We start from the raw sequence: 19,226 nt of genomic DNA on the forward strand, positions 1-19,226 counted from the left end.
GAAAAACCCCAGTGGGCACGGACATCAGGCAGTCAGTCTGCAGCAGTCTCCAGGACTGCCAGGATAGATTTAACCTACCTGGCTGGCTTGACTGGCAATTTCTTTCATTCTCTGGGCAATGATCCAGGAGATGAATGAAGGATGAGTAGTAAGACTTGAAAGAACTTACCCAAGTCTATTTGTACATTCTCGGACCTTGCTCTGCCCTCCAAAAGCAGAGCACCTCCCCTTCCCAATGGGTGTAAATTAAAGTTAGGGAAGATGGCATTCTCACTAGAATCTAGATACCCAGTGACTGGGTACCTTGTACCTGATATCTACAAGTAAAGAAAAAAAATAAGTGACTCCTTAGGATATTTTAGCTTTATTTGGCCTCTTTAATGAAAGAACCAACAATTTACAATTTATATTGTTGTATTCGTGTGCACTAAGACACAACTCCTGGGTGGTGTTTATTATTGAAGTATTGAACTCATGGGTACAGAATAAACTTTGACAAAATAATTCTTCCAAAGTTTCATTTTAGAAAGATTAACCACGAAAATGATTTTAAAACTGGTTATTAAAATTTTTTATGAAAAAGAAAAAGCTAAAGATAAATCTCGACATCATATACAGTTGCATATCATTAAACTGTCTCAGTGGAAGCAAGCCAAGTAAGGACCAGCATCTACATCTATTGTATGCTCTGACTTGCAGGATCAATATGTCTTAATTTATATCCTAAGCTATGTCAGCCACTATCAGAAGTCCAAGATTCCCAGGTCATTCATCATCATACAGATGCTCATTACCATAATGTTCTATAAATCTTCTAATCTGATGCAACTTCCCACTGGAATCCAGCAAAAACTGCAGCAGTCAGAAAGATTCTTATATACAACAAACTATCTGGTGTCTAATAGACACTTCAAAGAGCATGGCCAAAACAGAAGTCTTTAATCACTTGCTTCCTACCCGCCCACTAAAACCATTCTGCTATCAAGCCTTCTGATATGGTCTGGCTCTGTGTCCCCACCCAAATCTCACCTTGAATTGTAATCGCCACATGTCAGAAGGGGGGTCTGGTGAGAGGTGATTGGATCATGGGGATGAATATCTCCCTTGCTGTTCTTGTGATAGTGAGTTCTCATGAGATCTGATGATTTAAAAGTGTGGCACTTCCCTCTTCACTCTCTCTCTCCTGCTCCACCATGGTAAGATGTGCCTTGCTTCCCCTTCCGCCATGATTGCAAGTTTCCTGAGGCTTCCCCAGTCATGTGGAACTGTGAGTCAATTAAACCTCTTTTCTATACAAGCTACCCAGTCTCAGGTAGTTCTTCATAGTAGTGTGAAAATGGACTAATACACCTTCACACCTAAATAAGTGCCATCCTCAGATATTCAGTTGATGAGCCAAAAATCTAGTCTTTATCATCTATTTCTTTCTGTCTCTTATATCTATTATAGGTTCACCGGCTCAATATCCATATTATATCCTGAAAATGTCCATTTCTCACCATCTCCCCTGCTCTAATAGTCCAAGATGCCTCTTCTCTCACCTATACCATTGCAATAGGCTTTTATCCCTGCACCACTGCCCTTGACCCCTTAGGTCCATCTTCCATCTAGCCGTTGATTAATCTTTCAAAAGTGTCTATTAGAATGTCTCACTCCCTTGCGGAAAATCCTCCACCTAGAATAAAATCCAAACTATTTGCCACGCCTCCAAGCTCATCCAGCCCCATTTATCATCCACATTGGATTTCCTAGGTCACCTTAAGGTCTTTGGCCAAACACACCAGCTAAAGCAGTCACTGTCTACTGCATTAACCTTATTTTATCTTCTTTATAGCACATATTGGTACCTAGCATATCTCATATGTTTACTTTTAAAAATTATTTTTATTTTTTGAGACAGAGTCTCACTCTGTCACCCAGGCTGGAGTGCAGTGGCATGATCTCAGCTCACTGAAACCTTTGCTTCCTGGGTTCAAATGAGTCTCATGCCTCAGCCTCCTGAGTAGCTGGGACTATGGGCACATGCCACCACGCCTGACTAATTTTTGTATTTTTAGTAGAGACAAAATTTTGCCATATTGGCCAGGCTGGTCTGGAACTCCTGACCTCAAGTGATCCACCCACCTCAGCCTCCCAAAGTGCTGGGATTACAGGCCTGAGACACCATGTCCAGTCTCATACGTTTACTTTTTAAAAAAACAACTACATATGTACCTCCTCTAGCATGTAAGCATCTTGCCAGCAGAGACTCCAAGTTTTTCATGTGCCCATACAATCTAAAATAGAGCCTGGAACATAAAATGTGCTCAACAATATTTTTGACTCATGGATAATGTACTGGAAATTAAGGTTCTTGGCTACACCTTTATATTTTTTACCTTAAGCAATTTTTTATCAAAATTGGATTACAACATCTCAAAGTTACCTTACAGATCTAAAATACTATAATGTCATCAAATATAGTCCTATTTCAGTTTTTTCAGTTTCAAAATTATTATAATGTTGAGAGAAGATGATATAGACTCATAGGATTTGGTTCCTTTAACACTACTTTCATTTTTTTTACTTGCCAGCCTCATTAGATCTCCTTTGCCTTACTCGGATGGCTTTGGCATTCTCTGAACACCAACGTCAGGTGTGATTTCAGCTCCAACATGAAGACTTCACCAGATCACATTTGATTACCTTTCTCATCTACTAACCTCATTTATTTGGGAAGGGAGATGTCTAAGTAAATCTCTACGAATGTTAATTTTGAAGGAAAAAAACTGAATTGCATGAAGTCAATAGGAGAACACTTTATTTATAACAAAATATACATATAAGATTTACAAGGATCTAATTGCTTACTGAACTGTGAGCTCGATACAAAAGACTCCAATAGATTTGTTACTAAACATAAATTTCACCATGCATTAAGATACAAAACCAAAGTGTTTGACTGAATTAACTAATTTAGCCCATTGCTTTGAGTTCAGAGCTCAGTGTTATATACAAAACACAATTTTGATTTCCCATTAAGCCTTGCGTTAGCTATGACATATGGAAACAATCTGACATAATTTTTATATTGTCATCTAGGTAATAAATAACCCTAAAATAAGTGTTTTCATTACAAGGTCCTCTAGGCTAACACTAATGCAATAGAAAAGTATTGATTACAGGAGAGAGAGAATTCTAGAAATTAGATTAATGTCGGGAATTGTTTTGGAGAAAAGCACACATATTCAAAATACTGTAAAGAATCATAAACATCTCAAGAAAAATTGTGCTTTTCAAAACTGGAAAATAGGAAATTTTGTGATTTAACTAATGTCATTAAAAATAAAGAAAATACTGCTGGAATGCCAAGCCGAGACTTTTTTTTTTTTTAAGACTGAGTCTTGCTCTGTCACCAGGTGGGAGTGCAGTAACGTGATCTTGGCTCACTGCAACCTCTGCCTCCTAGGTTCAAGTGATTCTCCTGCCTCAGCCTCCCGAATAGCTGGGACTACAGGCATGTGCCACCACGCCCAGCTAATTTTTGTATTTTTAGTAGAGACAGGGTTTAACCATTTTGGCCAGGATGGTCTTGATCTCCTGACCTCGTGATTCACCCGCCTCGGCCTCCCAAAGTTCTGGGATTACAGGCGTGAGCCACCGTGCCTGGCCTCTTTTTTTTTTGTTATTATAGGGTCAAGCTCTGTTGCCCAGGCTGGAGTGCAGTGGCACGATCATGGCTCACTGCAGCATTGACCTCCTGGGCACAAGTGATCTTCCCACCTCAGCCTCCTGAGTAGTTGGGACCACAGGCGCATGCCACCATGCCCAGTTAATTTTTGTAGAGATGGGGTTTCGCCATGTTGCCAACTGGTCTCAAACTGCTGGGCTCAAGCAAACCAACTGCCTCAGCCTCCCAAAGTGTTGGGACTACAGGCGTGAGCCACTTTGCCTGGCGTAGACTATTTTTTCATATTTTATTCTCACCACTATACTGGAATATGGTTATTTGATATAATCTATCTATTAAGTGTTTCCACGTTAGTAAGATTACGTTTGTCACTGTTATGACACTGGAGGCTATTTCTACACAAACATCAGGGAATGTTGAAGTAAAAATATTTGTCTAGAGGTCATAATCATCCAAATAGGCAGAAAATAAATTGTCAGACATTTGTTATTTTAGAAAATCCTTCACGTTTTTTGTTGGACATTAATGCAGCTTGAACACCCACAGTGATATGCTCTTTCTGAATAGAAGTATTCTTGCCTTATTGAATATCCTGAACAATTTGGCCATTCAAAAAATTTATGTTCTTTTTTTTAATTTAAAAGATGTATTCATTTTTTATTAAAAGAATTCATTCATTAAAATCATTAGTGATATTTCTCAGCATGACTGCCATGAATACGAGCAAAAGATGGAAATTTAATTTCAAATTGTATAAGATTTGCTGAAATTACTCATATTTGCATATTACATTTCTTTGTATGGTCTTTTTGCAAACCTAAAATAAGTTTAGAAGATCTAAAGACAAATCTCAAAAATATGTATAATTAGATTAGCTCATGCGTCTGGTTTAACACAGTATACTGTTTTCAAACTCAGAATGTAAGGAGAAATCTCACATGGACAGGTAGACATCTTTCTAAACTCTTTGGACTGCCAACATTTAAGGCATTCAATAATCTGGCCTTATGCTTAGGCCTAAGCCTACATTGTTCTACGTGCACTCAAAATTTCAGTCAGACTAGACCTCCTGATTAGCGTGAGGAAGAGAGAGAAAGATTTTCAACCTGCTGCTTTACAACCGAAACATTGCAGCAAGGGCTGCAAGCCAAGCTCACTGCTTTCCAGCACTGATGCATTTGTCTATGCTCTTCCTCCGTCCTAGAAAGGCCTCCCCATGGGCACACTGCACTTGTTAAAAATCTTACCCACCTTATTCTAAGGCACAGCTCAAATGCCTTTTACTCTGTAAAGTATTCCTTGACTTTGAGGCTTACCCAGTAAAGTATGATCTCTTATTTTTCTGGACACATAGCATTTTGGCCTTTTTCATCGTGATAAGACTCATAGTACCTGGCATCATGTCTTGTCTATGGTAGGCATACTAATATCTGCTGAATGAATAAATGAATAATTCTGGTGATTCAAACAGAAAATCTCTCAACTAATACGTCTTGTTCATAGCGCTTCACCCATATGTAGTAGTGTGCCTTTGATTTGTTAGGAGAAGGAGAGAAACAACAGAAAAAAAAATTCGACTAATATATATATATATATATATATATATTTTTTTTTTTTTTTTGAGATGGAGTCTCGCTCTGTTGCCCAGGCTGGAGTGCAGTGGGGCGATCTCGGCTCACTGAAAGCTCCGTCTCCCGGGTTCACGCCATTCTCCTGCCTCAGCCTCCCGAGTAGCTGGGACTACAGGGACCCGCCACCACGCCCAGCTAATTTTTTGTATTTTTAGTAGAGACGGGGTTTCACCTTGTTAGCCAGGATGGTCTCGATCTCCTGACCTAGTGATCTGCCCTCCTTGGCCTCCCAAAATGCTGGGATCACAGGCGTGAGCCACCGCGCCCGGCCAACTAATATATCTTTTAACCGCAGAATGGAAACGCATTCAAATAGAAGTGTCAACAGTTAATTACAAGAGAAAAATAATTTTCAGTGAAGTGGTTTTATCAATTGATCAATGGTACCCTGGCTATTACCTTCTTTTGCTCAAAATAAAGGCAATTTTAATTGATTTAAAAATATAGAAACTGAGGCCCAGAGAAAAGAAGAAAAGCAGGGAAAGACCACAGGTCTCATTCAAAATGTATTATTCCGCTAGACCGTATCACTTCTTGCCCATTAATAGTGGGTTTCTTTGTCAACCTAGACACAGCACAAATGTGAATCATCTGCCAAAAACTATAAAAAAACTACCCACATTACTTCACTATTGATAAATAATACATTTTAACAATTATAAAAGATTTTCTTTACATGACTAGGTTTTTTCCCCACCGCTTAAAAACAAAAGGAGTGTGAGGGTGGAGATAAACTGGCTACACAAATGCATGGGGATTAATTTATCAGAATCATAAACCAGTCTATTAGTGACTCATTATCAGTAAGAGGCATGCAAGTATAAACAAAATTAGTTACATAAAAAGAAGTAAATTGGACATTTATGGGGAAACTCATTTGGCCATATTCATCTTCTCATGTAAAAATAGCTTCGCAATAATAACCAAAATTATCTACTAGTCTATTGCCATATGTGGCTTCTTCATTGATGACACTCAATGCTTCTTGAATTTTTTTTCTGATCCTAATAAGATCATCTTTTTCATTAAAGCAAGCACAAACAATTCACTCATTTACTCTCCAAAAAAGTGAGTTACATTTGGTTTCTTTCTTCAGAGATAAGAAGTTGATGTAACCTATTTCTATATAAATCATTGAAGATACTTATTCTTCTAGGATTGCTTGCATTCACAATTAAAACGAGAGAAAAGTGACACCTAACATTTATAGAGCTTTGAATAGAAGGGCCAAGAGTCACAGTTTGCATTTTGGTGTAGTGTTGCCATCTTTATAAGTTTCTATTTTTTTTTTAACTTTTATTTTATTTTAGGTTCAGGGTTTAGGGGTATGTGTGCAGGTTTCTTATATAGGTAAACTCATGTCATAAGGGTTTGTTGTACAGATTATTTTGACATCCAGGTATAAAACCTAGTACTCAATAATTATTTTTTCTGATCTTCTCTTTTCTCCTGCTCTTCACTTTCAACTAGGCACTAGTGTCTGTTGTTTCCTTCTTTGTGTCCATGTGTTCTCATCATTTAGCTCCCACTTATAAGTGAGAATGTGGCATTTGGTTTTCTGTTCCTGCATTAGTTTGCTAAGGAAAATGGTCTCCGGCTTCATCCATGTTTCTTCAAAGGACATGATCTTATTCTTTTATATGATTGCATGGTATTCCATGGTGTATATGTATCACATTTCCTTTATCCAGTCTGTCATCGATGGTCATTTAGGTTGACTCTATGTCTTCACTATTGTGAACAGTGCTGCAATGAACATATGCATGCATGTATCTCCATGATAGAATGATTTTTATTTCTTTGGGTATATACTCAGTAATGAGATTGCTGGGTCAAATAGTAGTTCTGTTTTTAGCTCTTTGAGGAATTGCCACACTGCTTTCCACAATGGTTGAAATAACTTACACCTCCACTAACAGTGTATATGTGTTTTTTTCTTCTCTGCAACCTCACCAGCATCTGTTATTTCTTGACTTTTTAATAATAGCTATCCTGACTGGTGTGAGACAGTATCTTGTTGTGGTTTTGATTTGCATTTTTCTAATGATCAGTAATGTTGAACTTTTTTTCATATGCTTGTTGGTCACATGTACATCTTATTCTGAAAAGTGACTGTTCATGTCCTTGGCCCACTTTTTAATGGGGTTGTTTTTTTCTTTTAAATTTAAGTTCCTTATTGATGCTGAATGTTAGAACTTTGTCAGATGCACAGTTTGCAAATGTTTTCTCCCCTTCTGTAGGCTGGCTGTTTACTCTGTTGATAATTTCTTTGCAAATGCTCTTAAGTTTAATTAGATTCCATTTTTCAATTTTTGCTTTTGTTGCAATTAATTCTGGTGCCTTCATGAAATCTTTGCCAGTTCCTATGCCCTGAATGGTATTGCCTATTCCATTGTCTTCCAGGGGTTTTATAATTTTGGGTTTAACATTTAAGTCTTCAATTCATCTTGAATTGATTTTTTTGTATATGGTATAAAGAAGGGGTCCCATTTCAGTATTCTTTATATGATTACCCTGTTATCCAGGCACCATTTATTGAATAGGGAGTCTTTCCCCATTGCTTTTTCTTGTCAGCTTTGTCAAAGATCAGATGGTCATAGGTGTGTGTTCTTATATCTGGGCTCACTATTCTGTTCCATTTATCTACATTTCTGTTTTTGTAACAGTACCATGCTGTTTTAGTTACTGTAGCCCTGTAGTATAGCTTGAAGTTGGGTAACAAGATACTATCAGCTTTGTTCTTTTTGCTTAGGATTGCCTTGGCTATTCAGGCTTATTTTGGTTCCATATGAATTTTAAAATAGTTTTTTCTAGTTCTGTGAAGAATGTTATTGAATTTGTAAATTGCTTTGGGCAGTATGACTATTTTATTTATTATTCTTATCCATGAGCATGAGATGTTTTTCCATTTGTTTGTGTCATCTCTGATTTCTTTGAGCAGTGTTTTGTCATTCTCATTGCAGAGACCTTTCACCTCCCTGGTTAGCCGTATTCCTCAGTATTTTATTCCTTTTGTGGCAATTGCGAATGGGATTGCCTTTCTGATTTGGCTCTGAGTTAGGTTGTTGTCGGTGTATAGAAATGTTAGTGATTTTTGTGCATTAATTTTGTATCCTGAGACTTTGCTGAAGTTATCAGCTGAAGGAGCATTCAGACTGAGACTATGGGGTTTTCTAGACATAGAATCATGTAGTCTGCAAAAAGGAATAGTTTGACTTTCCCTCTTTCTATTTGGATGTGCTTTATTTCTTTCTCTTGCCTAATTGTTCTGGCCAGGACTTACAATGCTATGTTTAATAACAGTAGTGAGAGAGGGCATCTTGTCTTGTGCCGATTTTCAATGGGAATACTTCCAGCTTTTGCTAACTCAGTATGATGTTGGCTGTAGGTTTGTCATAGATGGCTCTTATTATATTGAGGTATGTTCTTACAATATTTAATTCATTGAGAGGTTTTAAGGGATGTTGAATTTTATCAAAACCCTTTTCTGTATCGAGATAATCATGTGGATTTTGTCTTTAGCTCTGTTTATGTGATGAATCACATTAATTTGCATAGGTTAAACCAACCTTGCATCCCTAGGATAAAGCCTACTTGATCATGGTGGTTTAGGTTTTTGGTGTGCTGCTAGAATCGGTTTGCAAGTATTTTGTTGAGGATTTTTACATCCGTGTTCATTAGGCATATTGGCCTGAAATTTCCTTTTTTTTGTTGGATCTCTGGTAAGTTTTGGTATCAGGGTGATACTGGCCTCACAGAATGAGTTAGGGAGGAATTCTTCCTCCTCAATATTTTGGAATAGTTTTAGTAGGAACAGTACCAGACTTCTTTCTACATCTGGTAGAATTTGGCTGTGGATCTGTCTGGTCCTGGGCTTTTTTGGTTAGTAGGCTGTTTATTACAGATTCAATTTTGGGACTTGTTATTGGTCTGCTCAGGGAATCAACTTCTTCCTGGTTCAGTTTTAGGAGGGTGTATGTGTCCAGGAATTTATAAATCTCTTCTAGGCTTTCTAGTTGGTGTGCATGGAGGTGTTTGTAGCAGTCTCTGATGGTTATTTGTATTTTTGTGGGGTCGTGGTAATATCCCCTTTGTCATTTCTAATTATGTTTATTTGGACCTCCTCTCTTTTCTTCTTTATTAATCTAGCTAGTGGCCAATCTTATTAAATTTTTTCAAAAAGCCTACTCTTGGATTTGATGATCCTTTGAATGTTTTTTTGTGTCTCAATCTCCTTCAGTTCAGCTCCGATTTTCATTATTTCTTCTCTTCTGCTAGTTTTGGGATTGGTTTGTTCTTGCTTCTCTAGTTATTTAGTTGTAATGGTAGGTTGTTAATTTGAGATCTTTCTAACTTTTTGATATGGGCATTCAGTGATATAAATTTCCCTCTTAACGCTGCTTTAGCTGTGTCCCAGAGATTCTGGTATCTTTGTTCTCATTAGTTTCAAAGAATTTCTTGATTTCTCACTTAATTTCATTATTTACCCAAAACTTGTTTAGGAGAAGGTTAATTTCCATGTAATTGCATGGTTTTGAGTGATTTATTTTTAAGTCTTTACTTCTATTTTGTACTGTGGTCTGAGAGTGTGTTTGGTATTATTTCAGTTTCTTTGCATTTGCTGAGGATTGTTTTATGTCCAACTGTGTGGCCAGTTTTAGAATATGTGCCATGTGGTGATGAGAAAAGTGTATATTTTGTTTTTGGGTACAGAGTTCTGTAAAGGTCTATCAGATCCATTGGTCCAATATTGAGTCCAGGTCCTGAAATGTTGTTGTTAATTTTCTGCCTCAATGATCTATCTGATACTGTCAGTGGAGTAAGGAAGTTTTCCACTATTATTGTGTGGAAGTCTAAGTCTCTTTGTAGGCCTCTAAGAACTTGCTTTTTGAATCTGAGTGCTCCTGTATTGGGTGCATATATATTTAGGATAGTTAAGTCTTCTTGTTGAATTGAACCCTTTATGATTACGTAATGCCCTTCTTTGTCTGTTTTGATTTTTGTTGGTTTAAAGTCTGTTTTGCCTGAAATTAAGATTACAACTCATGCTTTTTGCTGGTTTCCATTTGCTTGGTATATTTTCCTCTATCCCTTTATTTTGAGCCTATGGGTGTCATCGTGTATGAGATGGGTCTCTTGAAGACAGCATATCTGGGTTTTGCTTTATTATCCAGCTGACCATTCTGAGCCTTTTAAATGGGGCATTTAGCCTGTTTACCTTCAAGGTTAGTACTGATATGTGTGAATTTGATCTTGTCATTGTGTTGTTATCTGGTTATTGTGCCAGCTTGTTTGTGTGGTTGCTGTATAGTGTCATTGGTCTGTGTCCTTAAGTGTGTTTTTCTATTGGCTGGTAATGGTCTTTCTTTTCCATATTTAGTGCTCCTTTCAAGATCTCTTCTTAGACACATCTGGTGGCAATGAACTCCCTCAGCATTTGCTTATCTGAAAAGGTTCTTCTTTCTTTTTTACTTAGAAGAAGCTTAGTTTGGCTGGATATAATATGCTTGGTTGAAGATTATTTTTTCCTTAAGAATGTTGAATATAGGCCCCCAATCTCTACTGGCTTGTAGTGTTTCTGCTGAGAGGTCTGCTGTTAGCCTGATGGGGTTCCCTTTGTAGGTGACATGCTCTTTCTCTCTAGCTGCCTTTAACATTTTTTCATTTCAACCTTGGAAAATCTGACTGTGTTTTTTGGGGATGATCTTCTTGTATAGAATCTTGCAAGGCTCTCTGTATTTCCAGAATTTGACTCTCAGCCTCTATAGTGAGGTTGGGGACATTTTCATGGATGATATCCTGAAATATGTTTTCCATGTTGTCTGCTTCCTCCCCATCCCTTTTCAGGATGCCAATCATTTTTATATTTGGCATGTTTACATAATCCCACATTTCTTGGAGGTTTATTAATTCCTTTTTATTTTCTTTTAATTTTTGCCTGACTGTCCTATTTCAGAGAACCAGTCTTCAAGTTCTGAGATTCTGGCCGGGCGCGGTGGCTCACGCCTGTAATCCCAGCACTTTGGGAGGCCGAGGCGGGTGGATCATGAGGTCAGGAGATCGAGACCATCCTGGCTAACAAGGTGAAACCCCGTCTCTACTAAAAATACAAAAAATTAGCCGGGCGCGGTGGCGGGTGCCTGTAGTCCCAGCTACTCGGGAGGCTGAGGCAGGAGAATGGCGTGAACCCGGGAAGTGGAGCTTGCAGTGAGCCGAGATTGCGCCACTGCAGTCCGCAGTCCGGCCTGGGCGACAGAGCGAGACTCCGTCTCAAAAAAAAAAAAAAAAAAAAAAAAGTTCTGAGATTCTTTCCTCAGCTTGGTGTATTCTGCTGTTAACACTTGCAACTGCATTGTGAAATTCTTGTAGTGTGTTTTTCAGCTCTGTCAGATCAGTTAGGTTCTTTTTTATGCTGGCTATTTTGTCTGTCAGCTCCTGTATAGTTTTATTGTGGTTCTTATTTTCCTTGGATTGGGGTTTGCCATCCTCCTGAATTTTAATTTTAATTATCTTTGTTTTTCCTATATTCTGAATTCTATTTTTGTCATTTCAGCCAGATCAGTCTGGTTAAGAATCCTTGTTGGAAAATTAGTGTGGTCATTTGGAGGACATATGGCACTCTGGCCATTGAGTTACTGGAGTTCTTGTATTGCCTTCTTTCTCATCTCTGCATGTGGGTGTTCCTTTAACTGCAGCGTAGATTGAGTATAGTCAATAGACTTCTTTTCTGGATGTTTTCACAGGGCTGAAGCTTTGTGCAGGGTTTTTATTTGTGGCTAACTTCTTGTCTTTGGTTTTACAGGGGAGTATGTTACCTAGACATTTTTGGTGTTGAAGCTTTGGGGTATGATCCAGTAGGTGGCGCTTAGGCATAGTGGTCAGTTGGTAGGCTCTTGCTCAGTTGTGTGGTTCCCCTGTATTTCCTCACAGTTGCAGCCATGTTCCCTCTCAATGCTCTGAAATCAAGGGCCCCTCTTCCACTTGAGCGCTGGCTGTAAATTGCGGCTTGGCACTCCCAGGCTGTCCACCAGAGCTCTGGGGTGAACTCAAGGTTTATGTTTCCTCCCCAACTTAGAGGCAGCAGAGGAAGGAACCTTAGCAGTGGTTGTAGCCGATGGTCTTTTATTTGTATCCTAGGGGCTCCACCCCAGAGAAATGCAGGTCAGCAATCGCTCAGTGCAATCAGCCTAGGATGGGTCTGTGCTGTGGGCCCAAGCCTGGAGTTCCCTTTCCTGCACTCCATCTTTCTTGTAGGTGGAACCCCCAGGGGCAACCAAAGCCTCTCTGCCACTGCTTCTGCCTTTGTTACTCTGAGAGTGGCAGGGGTAATACCACTGCAGAGGCAGTGGCAGAGAGGCTTTTGGTTGCCCCTGGGGGTTCCACCTCTGTGAAGCAGAGCTGCTCTTATTGGGAGTGTTCAGCCAGTGGGGAGGGGCAGGTGCAGTGCTGGCACATGAGCTTGGGGCTCTGCTTGTTTGGCAGCAGGGGGTCAATGGTTCACTGGGAGGAGAGACTGGTTTCCTCTCCATATGACTGTGGCATGCTGTAAGCTCAGATGTAGCCCTCAGGTTCTTTGTTTCTTCTTCAGACTGAGGGCAGCAGGGATAGAACCAGTGACGAAGGGGCTGTAACATGTCTCTACAAGCCTCTCCTCAGGCCACTACCAGTGGATATGTTCAGCCATGGGTGGAGTGGCTGTTCTGCAGTCATGAGCCAGGGGCCCTGCCTGGTGAAGAGTGTGGGGTGGGGATTCCCCTGGAAGAGGGGCTGGGCTCCTCTCTATAGCGTGGCTGTGGTGTGCTGGAAGTGCCAGCATAATGACTAAGCCCCTTGTTCCTTCCCAAGCACGAGGGCTGTTGGAACTGTACCACTGCAGCTGCAGCGAAGGAGGGTTTGTGGGTTGGCTCTGCGATTTCCTCCTGGGAGAAGTGCTGAGCTGGCTCTGATTGAAGTGATCAGGCAGGGTCAGGGTGGTTGTGTTGGGGGTTGGATAGCCCTGCCCAGTGAGAAGTGAGGACTGGGACCTGTATGGGGAACAATCTGACCATTTTTCCATGGGGTTGTTGCTCTGTGCTGGGGATCTGGACCAGTCCCTGATCCTCACAGACTCTCCAGAGCCTGGAGACACCAAGGGCAAGGGCTGCAAGACAGCCACCATGGCAACCTGCCCCTACCATGGGGAGCTCTGCCCAGGGAGTTACAGAGCTGCTATTGGCTCTATAGCCTCAGCAGAGGGTAGTTGGAGACCCAAGCCAAGAGGACCTGCCCAGTGAGGAGCTACACGATTGGGGACCACATAACAGTCTGGCCACTTTTCCACAGGGCTGCTGCAGTATGCTGGGGGTCCACTCCAGTCCCCAGTGGCTTTGAATTTTCCAGTATCTAAAGATATCAACAGTGAAGGCTGCAAAACAGCAAAAAGGTGGCCTGCCCCTCCCTCTGGGAGCTCCATCCCAGGGAGGTCGGACCTGTTACCAACCTGAACACACCTGCAAGAAGTGGTTGGAGACCCCAATCAGGAGATCCCACCCAGTAAGGAGGTATAGGATCAGGGACCCATGTAAAAAAGCAGCCTGGCTGCTTTTCCTCAAGATAGTTGTGCTTTTCTGGGGATCCACTACAGCCCCTGGTCACCATGGACTCTAATGCCTGAAGGCAGCTAAGGCTGCTAAAGAGCAAAGATGGTGGCCTGCCCCTCCCTCTGGGAGCTACATCTCAGGGAGGGGTTGGAACTGCTGTCAGCCAGAAAACACCAGTGGGGGTGACAGGAGGTCCTGGTCAGGAGATTCTACCCAGTGAAGAGAAATGGGATTTGGGATCCACATGAAAAGCAGTCGGCTGCTGCTTTGCAGAGCTGCTATGCTGGACTGGGGGTCCGCTCCAGCCTCCAGTCACTTCAGACTCCTAGAGTCCAAAGGCAACAATTGCTAAGGCTGTAAAACAACAAAGATGTGGCCCACCCCGCCCTCTGGGAGCTTCATCTCAGGGAGGTGTAACGGTTATTATTGGTGACTGGCTGGGTTCCCAAGCCGGTGGGTCTTATCCAGTGAGGTGCCTGTAGTCCATCGCTGCTCACTCCCCTGGATTCAGCCCCTTTCCTACGGGTAGGTACGAGGATCTAACCTCTCACTTTGAAAGAGCTGCAGCTACTTTTTGACAGGAAGCTGGATATCTAAGGCTCCCAGGGCTCCACATGTGCCTGAGTGGCTACTCTGCAGAGACATTATGTAGCTCTGCATGTCAAACTGAAGGTTTGGGTAGAGTGGGTCCATGAAGGGATCTCCTGACCTGAGGGTTGCAAAGATCTGTGGTAGAACAGTGGGTCTCTGCAGTCACTTCCTCATTCAGTCAACACTTCTCTAGGCAAGGGAGGCTCCCCTGGTTCCATGGCACTCCTAGGTGGGCAGTTACCCTGCCTTGCTTTTCTCCATTCTTCATGAGTCAAATTGTTTCCTTGATGAATCCCAATGTGTGTACCTGGATGCTTCCGGTGTACACATTGTACCGGAAGTACAATGTGCTGTATTTACTCACCCCTTCTATTTCTCTTAGATTGGCACAACGTAGCTGCTACTAGTCAGCCATCTTGGCTAACCCCCTCACCACCACTTTTTTTCTTACTAATAATTCTCTGCTATCACAAAATATGAAATAGTATATCACACATGACACTTTTGACACATTTATAAAGTGTCTGTTTTGCACTGAAAAAAAATCTGCTTTCTATAATGGTGAAAAATATTTATGTTTTCCCAAAGCACTGCATTGCATAAAATAAAAATTGGTTTCATTTCCCATTTGTACTGAGTGATCTTCAAAGTGTCTTACCAGTTCACTGTGTTTCATCTTCTCTGTGAATAGTTCATTAAATACTCTTCTGCTCTGAAGTAGTTTATCCAATCATCCACCGCTCCTGGATAGATTGGAAATGTATTAGACAAGAACCAATTTAAATGTATTGTATTCACAAAAGAAATCTGCCAGTTTTAAAATAAAATGTGAACATCTTGTATCTCTTGGTGCCAAGATGATAGGGGATTATTCTTTATTTACTTATCTGTTGTTTCTAATTTCTTCTGTAATGGTTGTATATTATGCAGTTTAAAAAGTTATTTCTGGAAAAAAAGGCAGATTAAAAATACATGAATGTCATAGGTTTTACTCTAACAGGCAAAGTTTCTCACCTAAACTTAATAAAATCATAAAGCGGGCAATATGGACATAATGATGTTTCGTTTATTTCCCAACTTGCACATCTCCACAGCAGAAGCTGTGCTGATGACTGGAGGGTGGCGGTAATTAGTCTAATTTTAAAGACATTTATTTTACAACATGATATTGAAAACATAAGTGCCAAGTTATATAAACACAAACAAAATTTACTTGTGTGATATCCTCACTTTCAATATAAAGTGTTGGGTGATTGAGATAAGATATACACTTCACATAGTCCATCAGCCTCTCTTGATCATACAAATCATCTCTCTCAGCCTTGGCCACAGGGTCAACCACACAGGACTGCCTTTTTTGCCCCCACTATGCACACAATGCCAAACCCCAACCCTGGATCTTGCCTACAATGGTCTTTTGCCACTTCTAGCCTCAAACTTCATCTCTGGGGTCTACCTGTACTGGAGCCAGTGATACGTTTTATCCATCCATTACAGAACATCTTCTGTTGTTCTCTATCATCTTTTCTTTCCAAATAGCTTATATGTTCATTCATGTTAGGAACTGTGATGTGCTGTTCATGTGTAATCCTGCAGAACCTCTCATCCAGTGCTGACCAGCAGCCAGCAGGTCCTGAGTAAATACCTGTGTTTTGACTGAGTGTCAGACAATTTCCCACAGCAAAAAAATACAGTAAAATCTAGGAATTTTTGATGTTGTTGATTCCGGGTTCAAAAAACTGAGTTTAAGAAGAAGCAGAGAGAAATGACAAAAAGTAGTACCAGAGAGATCTCAGAGTAAGGAAGTGACATTGCTCCGAAAATGCACGAATTGGGAGACAAGGCCAACTTCATGAGGTCAAAGTGCCTGGCCCATAGAAGATTAATATTAATGTCAAAGGCATACTTCAGAGATATTGCAGGTTCAGTCCCAGACCACCCCAATAAAGTGAATATTACAATAGAGTGAGTCACTTGAATTGTTTTGTTTCCCAGTGTATAAAAAGTTATATTTACACTATACTATAGTCTATTAAGTGTGCAATAGCATTTTGTCTAATAATAAACCATGAACATACCTTAATTAAAAATACTTTATTGCTAAAAATTACTAACAAACACCTGGGCCTTCAGCAAGTTGTAATCTTTTTGCTGATAGAGGGTTTTGACTCCATGTTGATGGCTGTTAACTGAACAGAGTGGTAACTGCTGAAGTTGAAATAGCAGTGGCATTTTCTTAAAATAAAACACTGAGTTTACACATCAATTGACTCATCCTTTCAGTAAAGATTTCTCTGAGGCATGCAATGCTATCCAATAGCATTTTATCCACAGTAGAACTTTCAAAACTGGAGTCAATTCTCTTAAGCCCTGCTAGTGATTTGTCAGCTAAGTATATGTAATATTCTAAATTCTTGGTTGTCATTTAAACAATGTTCACAACATCTTCACCAGGAAAAACCTCTTTTTTTCTCATCCATAAGAAGCAACTCTTCATCTGTATTAGTCCATTTTTCATACTGCTATAAAGAACCTCCCAAGACTGGGTAATTTATAAGGGAAAGAGGTTTAGTTGACTTACGGTTCAGCATGACTGGAGAGGCCTTGGGAAACCCACAACCAGGACAGAAGGTGAAGGGGAAGCAAAGCACCTTCTTCACAAGGCACCAGAAATGAGAAGAGTGGCACAGCGAAAGGAAGAGCCCCTTATAAAACCATCAGATCTCGTGAGAACTCACTCACTATCACAAGAACAGTATGGGGAAAACTACCCCCATGATTCAATTACCCCCACTGGGTCCCTCCCATGACACTGGGGAGTATAACAATTCAAGGTAAGATTTGGGTAGGGACAGAGAGCCAAACCACATCATCATCTATTCAAGTTTGACCATGATATTGCAGCAATTCAGTCACATCTTCAGGGTTCACTTTTATTTCTAGTTCTCCTGCTATTTCCACCACAACTTCAGTTTCTTTCTCCACTGAAAACTTGAACCCATCCATGAGTATTGAAATTGACTTCTTCCAAACTCCTGTTAATGTTGACATTTTGACCTCTTTCCATGAATCCCAAATGTTCTTAATGGCAATAGAATGATGAATCCCTTTCCAGAAGATTTTCAATTTACTTTGCCCAGTTACATTAGAGAAATCACTATCTATGACAGCAGTAGCCTTACGAAATGTATTCCTTAAGTAATAAGACCTTGAAAGTTGAAATTAGTCTTTGATCCATGACTGTGGAATGAATGTTATGTTAGCAGGCATAAACAGGCATGAAAACAGCATTCATCAGCTTTTATATCACCATCAGAGCTCTTGGGTGACCAGATGAATTGTCAACGAGCAGTAACATTTTAAAGGAATCTTTTTTTCTGAGCAGTAGGTCTCAACAGTGGGTTTCAAATATTTAATAAATCGTGCTACAATCAGATGTGCTGTCATCCAGGCTTTGCTGTTCCATTTATAGAGCACAGGCAGAGTCGATTTACCCAAATACTTAAGGGCCCTAGAATTTTCAGAATGGTAAGTGAGCGCTGGCTTCAACATTAAGTCACCAGCAGCATTAACCCCTAACAAGAGAGTCAGCCTTTCCCTTGAAGTTTTGAAACATTGACTTCTCCACTATAGCTATGAAAATCTTAGATGGTATCTTCTTCCAACAGGAGGCTATTTCGTCTACATTGAAAATCTTGTTTAGTGTAGCCACCTTCATCAATGATCTTAATTAAATCTTCTGGATAACCTGCTGCAGCTTCTTCATTAGCACTTGCTGTTTCTCCTTGCATCTTTATGTTATAAAGACATCTTGGCGTGATTGAGTGAAAATGGCAGATAGGAAGCAAGACTAGTTTGTAGCTTCCACTTAGACAGACAGAGCAGCATGTGGAGACTCACATTGTGAACTTTGGCTCCCAGAACTACTGCAGGAACATATCAGGAAAGTCAAGAGAATCCACAGACCCTTTGAAAGAACTAGGTCACTGCTGCAGCATCCCTGAGATGCCAAAAAACTGTGAGTCTGCTTGCCTTCTCAATGGGGAGGCTCGTGGCCTGGGACAAGTTCTCAGTCCTGGTCACCAGCTGCCTGGAAATAGAAATGCAGGGATGGTTTAACATACATAAGTCAATAAATGTGATACATCATATAAACAGAATTAAAAACAAAACTTAGGCCAGGCGTGGTGGCTCATGCCTGTAATCTCAGCACTTTGGGAGGCTGAGGTAGGTGGATTATGAGGTAAAGAGATCGAGACCATCCTGGCCAACATGGTGAAACCCCGTCTCTACTAAAAATACAAAAATTAGCTGGGTGTGGTGGCACGTGCCTGTAGTCTCAGTTACTTGGGAGGCTGAGGCAGAAGAATCACTTGAACCCGGGAGGTGGAGGTTGCAGTGAGCCAAGATCATGCCACTGCACTCCAGCCTGGGGACAGAGTGAGACTCCATCTCAAAAAAAAAAAAAAAATTCTCATGACTATCTGAATAGACACAGAAAAAGCATTTGACAAAATCCAGCATCCCTTTGTGATTAAGACACTCAGCAAAATCGGCATATTACCTTAAGGTAATAAAAGCCATCTATGACAAACCCACAGCCAACATTATATTGAACGGGGAAAAGTTGAAAGCATTCCCTGTGAGAACTGGAACAAGACAAGGATGTCCACTTTCATCACTTCTATTCAACATGGTACTGGAAGTCCTAGCCAGAGCAATCAGACAAGAGAAAGAAATAAAGGGCATCCAAAT

At 40.5% G+C, this 19,226-nt stretch overlaps 1 pseudogene across 1 annotated transcript in view, besides 1 other annotated feature; it reads right to left on the bottom strand.

Annotated features, from left to right (window-relative positions):
- Positions 12,866-13,005: an enhancer, noted in NCBI's record as "active region_6097". NCBI's record gives its function as "activates an Ori minimal core promoter by ATAC-STARR-seq in GM12878 lymphoblastoid cells {active_cell/tissue: GM12878}" and the evidence as "EXISTENCE:reporter gene assay evidence [ECO:0000049][PMID:35858748]".
- Positions 15,518-19,226, bottom strand: part of SULT6B2P (sulfotransferase family 6B member 2, pseudogene) — a 35,556-nt pseudogene continuing 31,847 nt past the window's right edge. The window contains exon 4 of the transcript XR_001749042.2: positions 15,518-18,561. The product of XR_001749042.2 is annotated as a sulfotransferase family 6B member 2, pseudogene, transcript variant X1 (transcript). The remainder of the gene's footprint in view (positions 18,562-19,226) is intronic.

This window comes from Homo sapiens, chromosome 12, assembly GCF_000001405.40.
Source record: "Homo sapiens chromosome 12, GRCh38.p14 Primary Assembly".
Classification (NCBI taxonomy): Eukaryota; Metazoa; Chordata; class Mammalia; order Primates; family Hominidae; genus Homo; species Homo sapiens.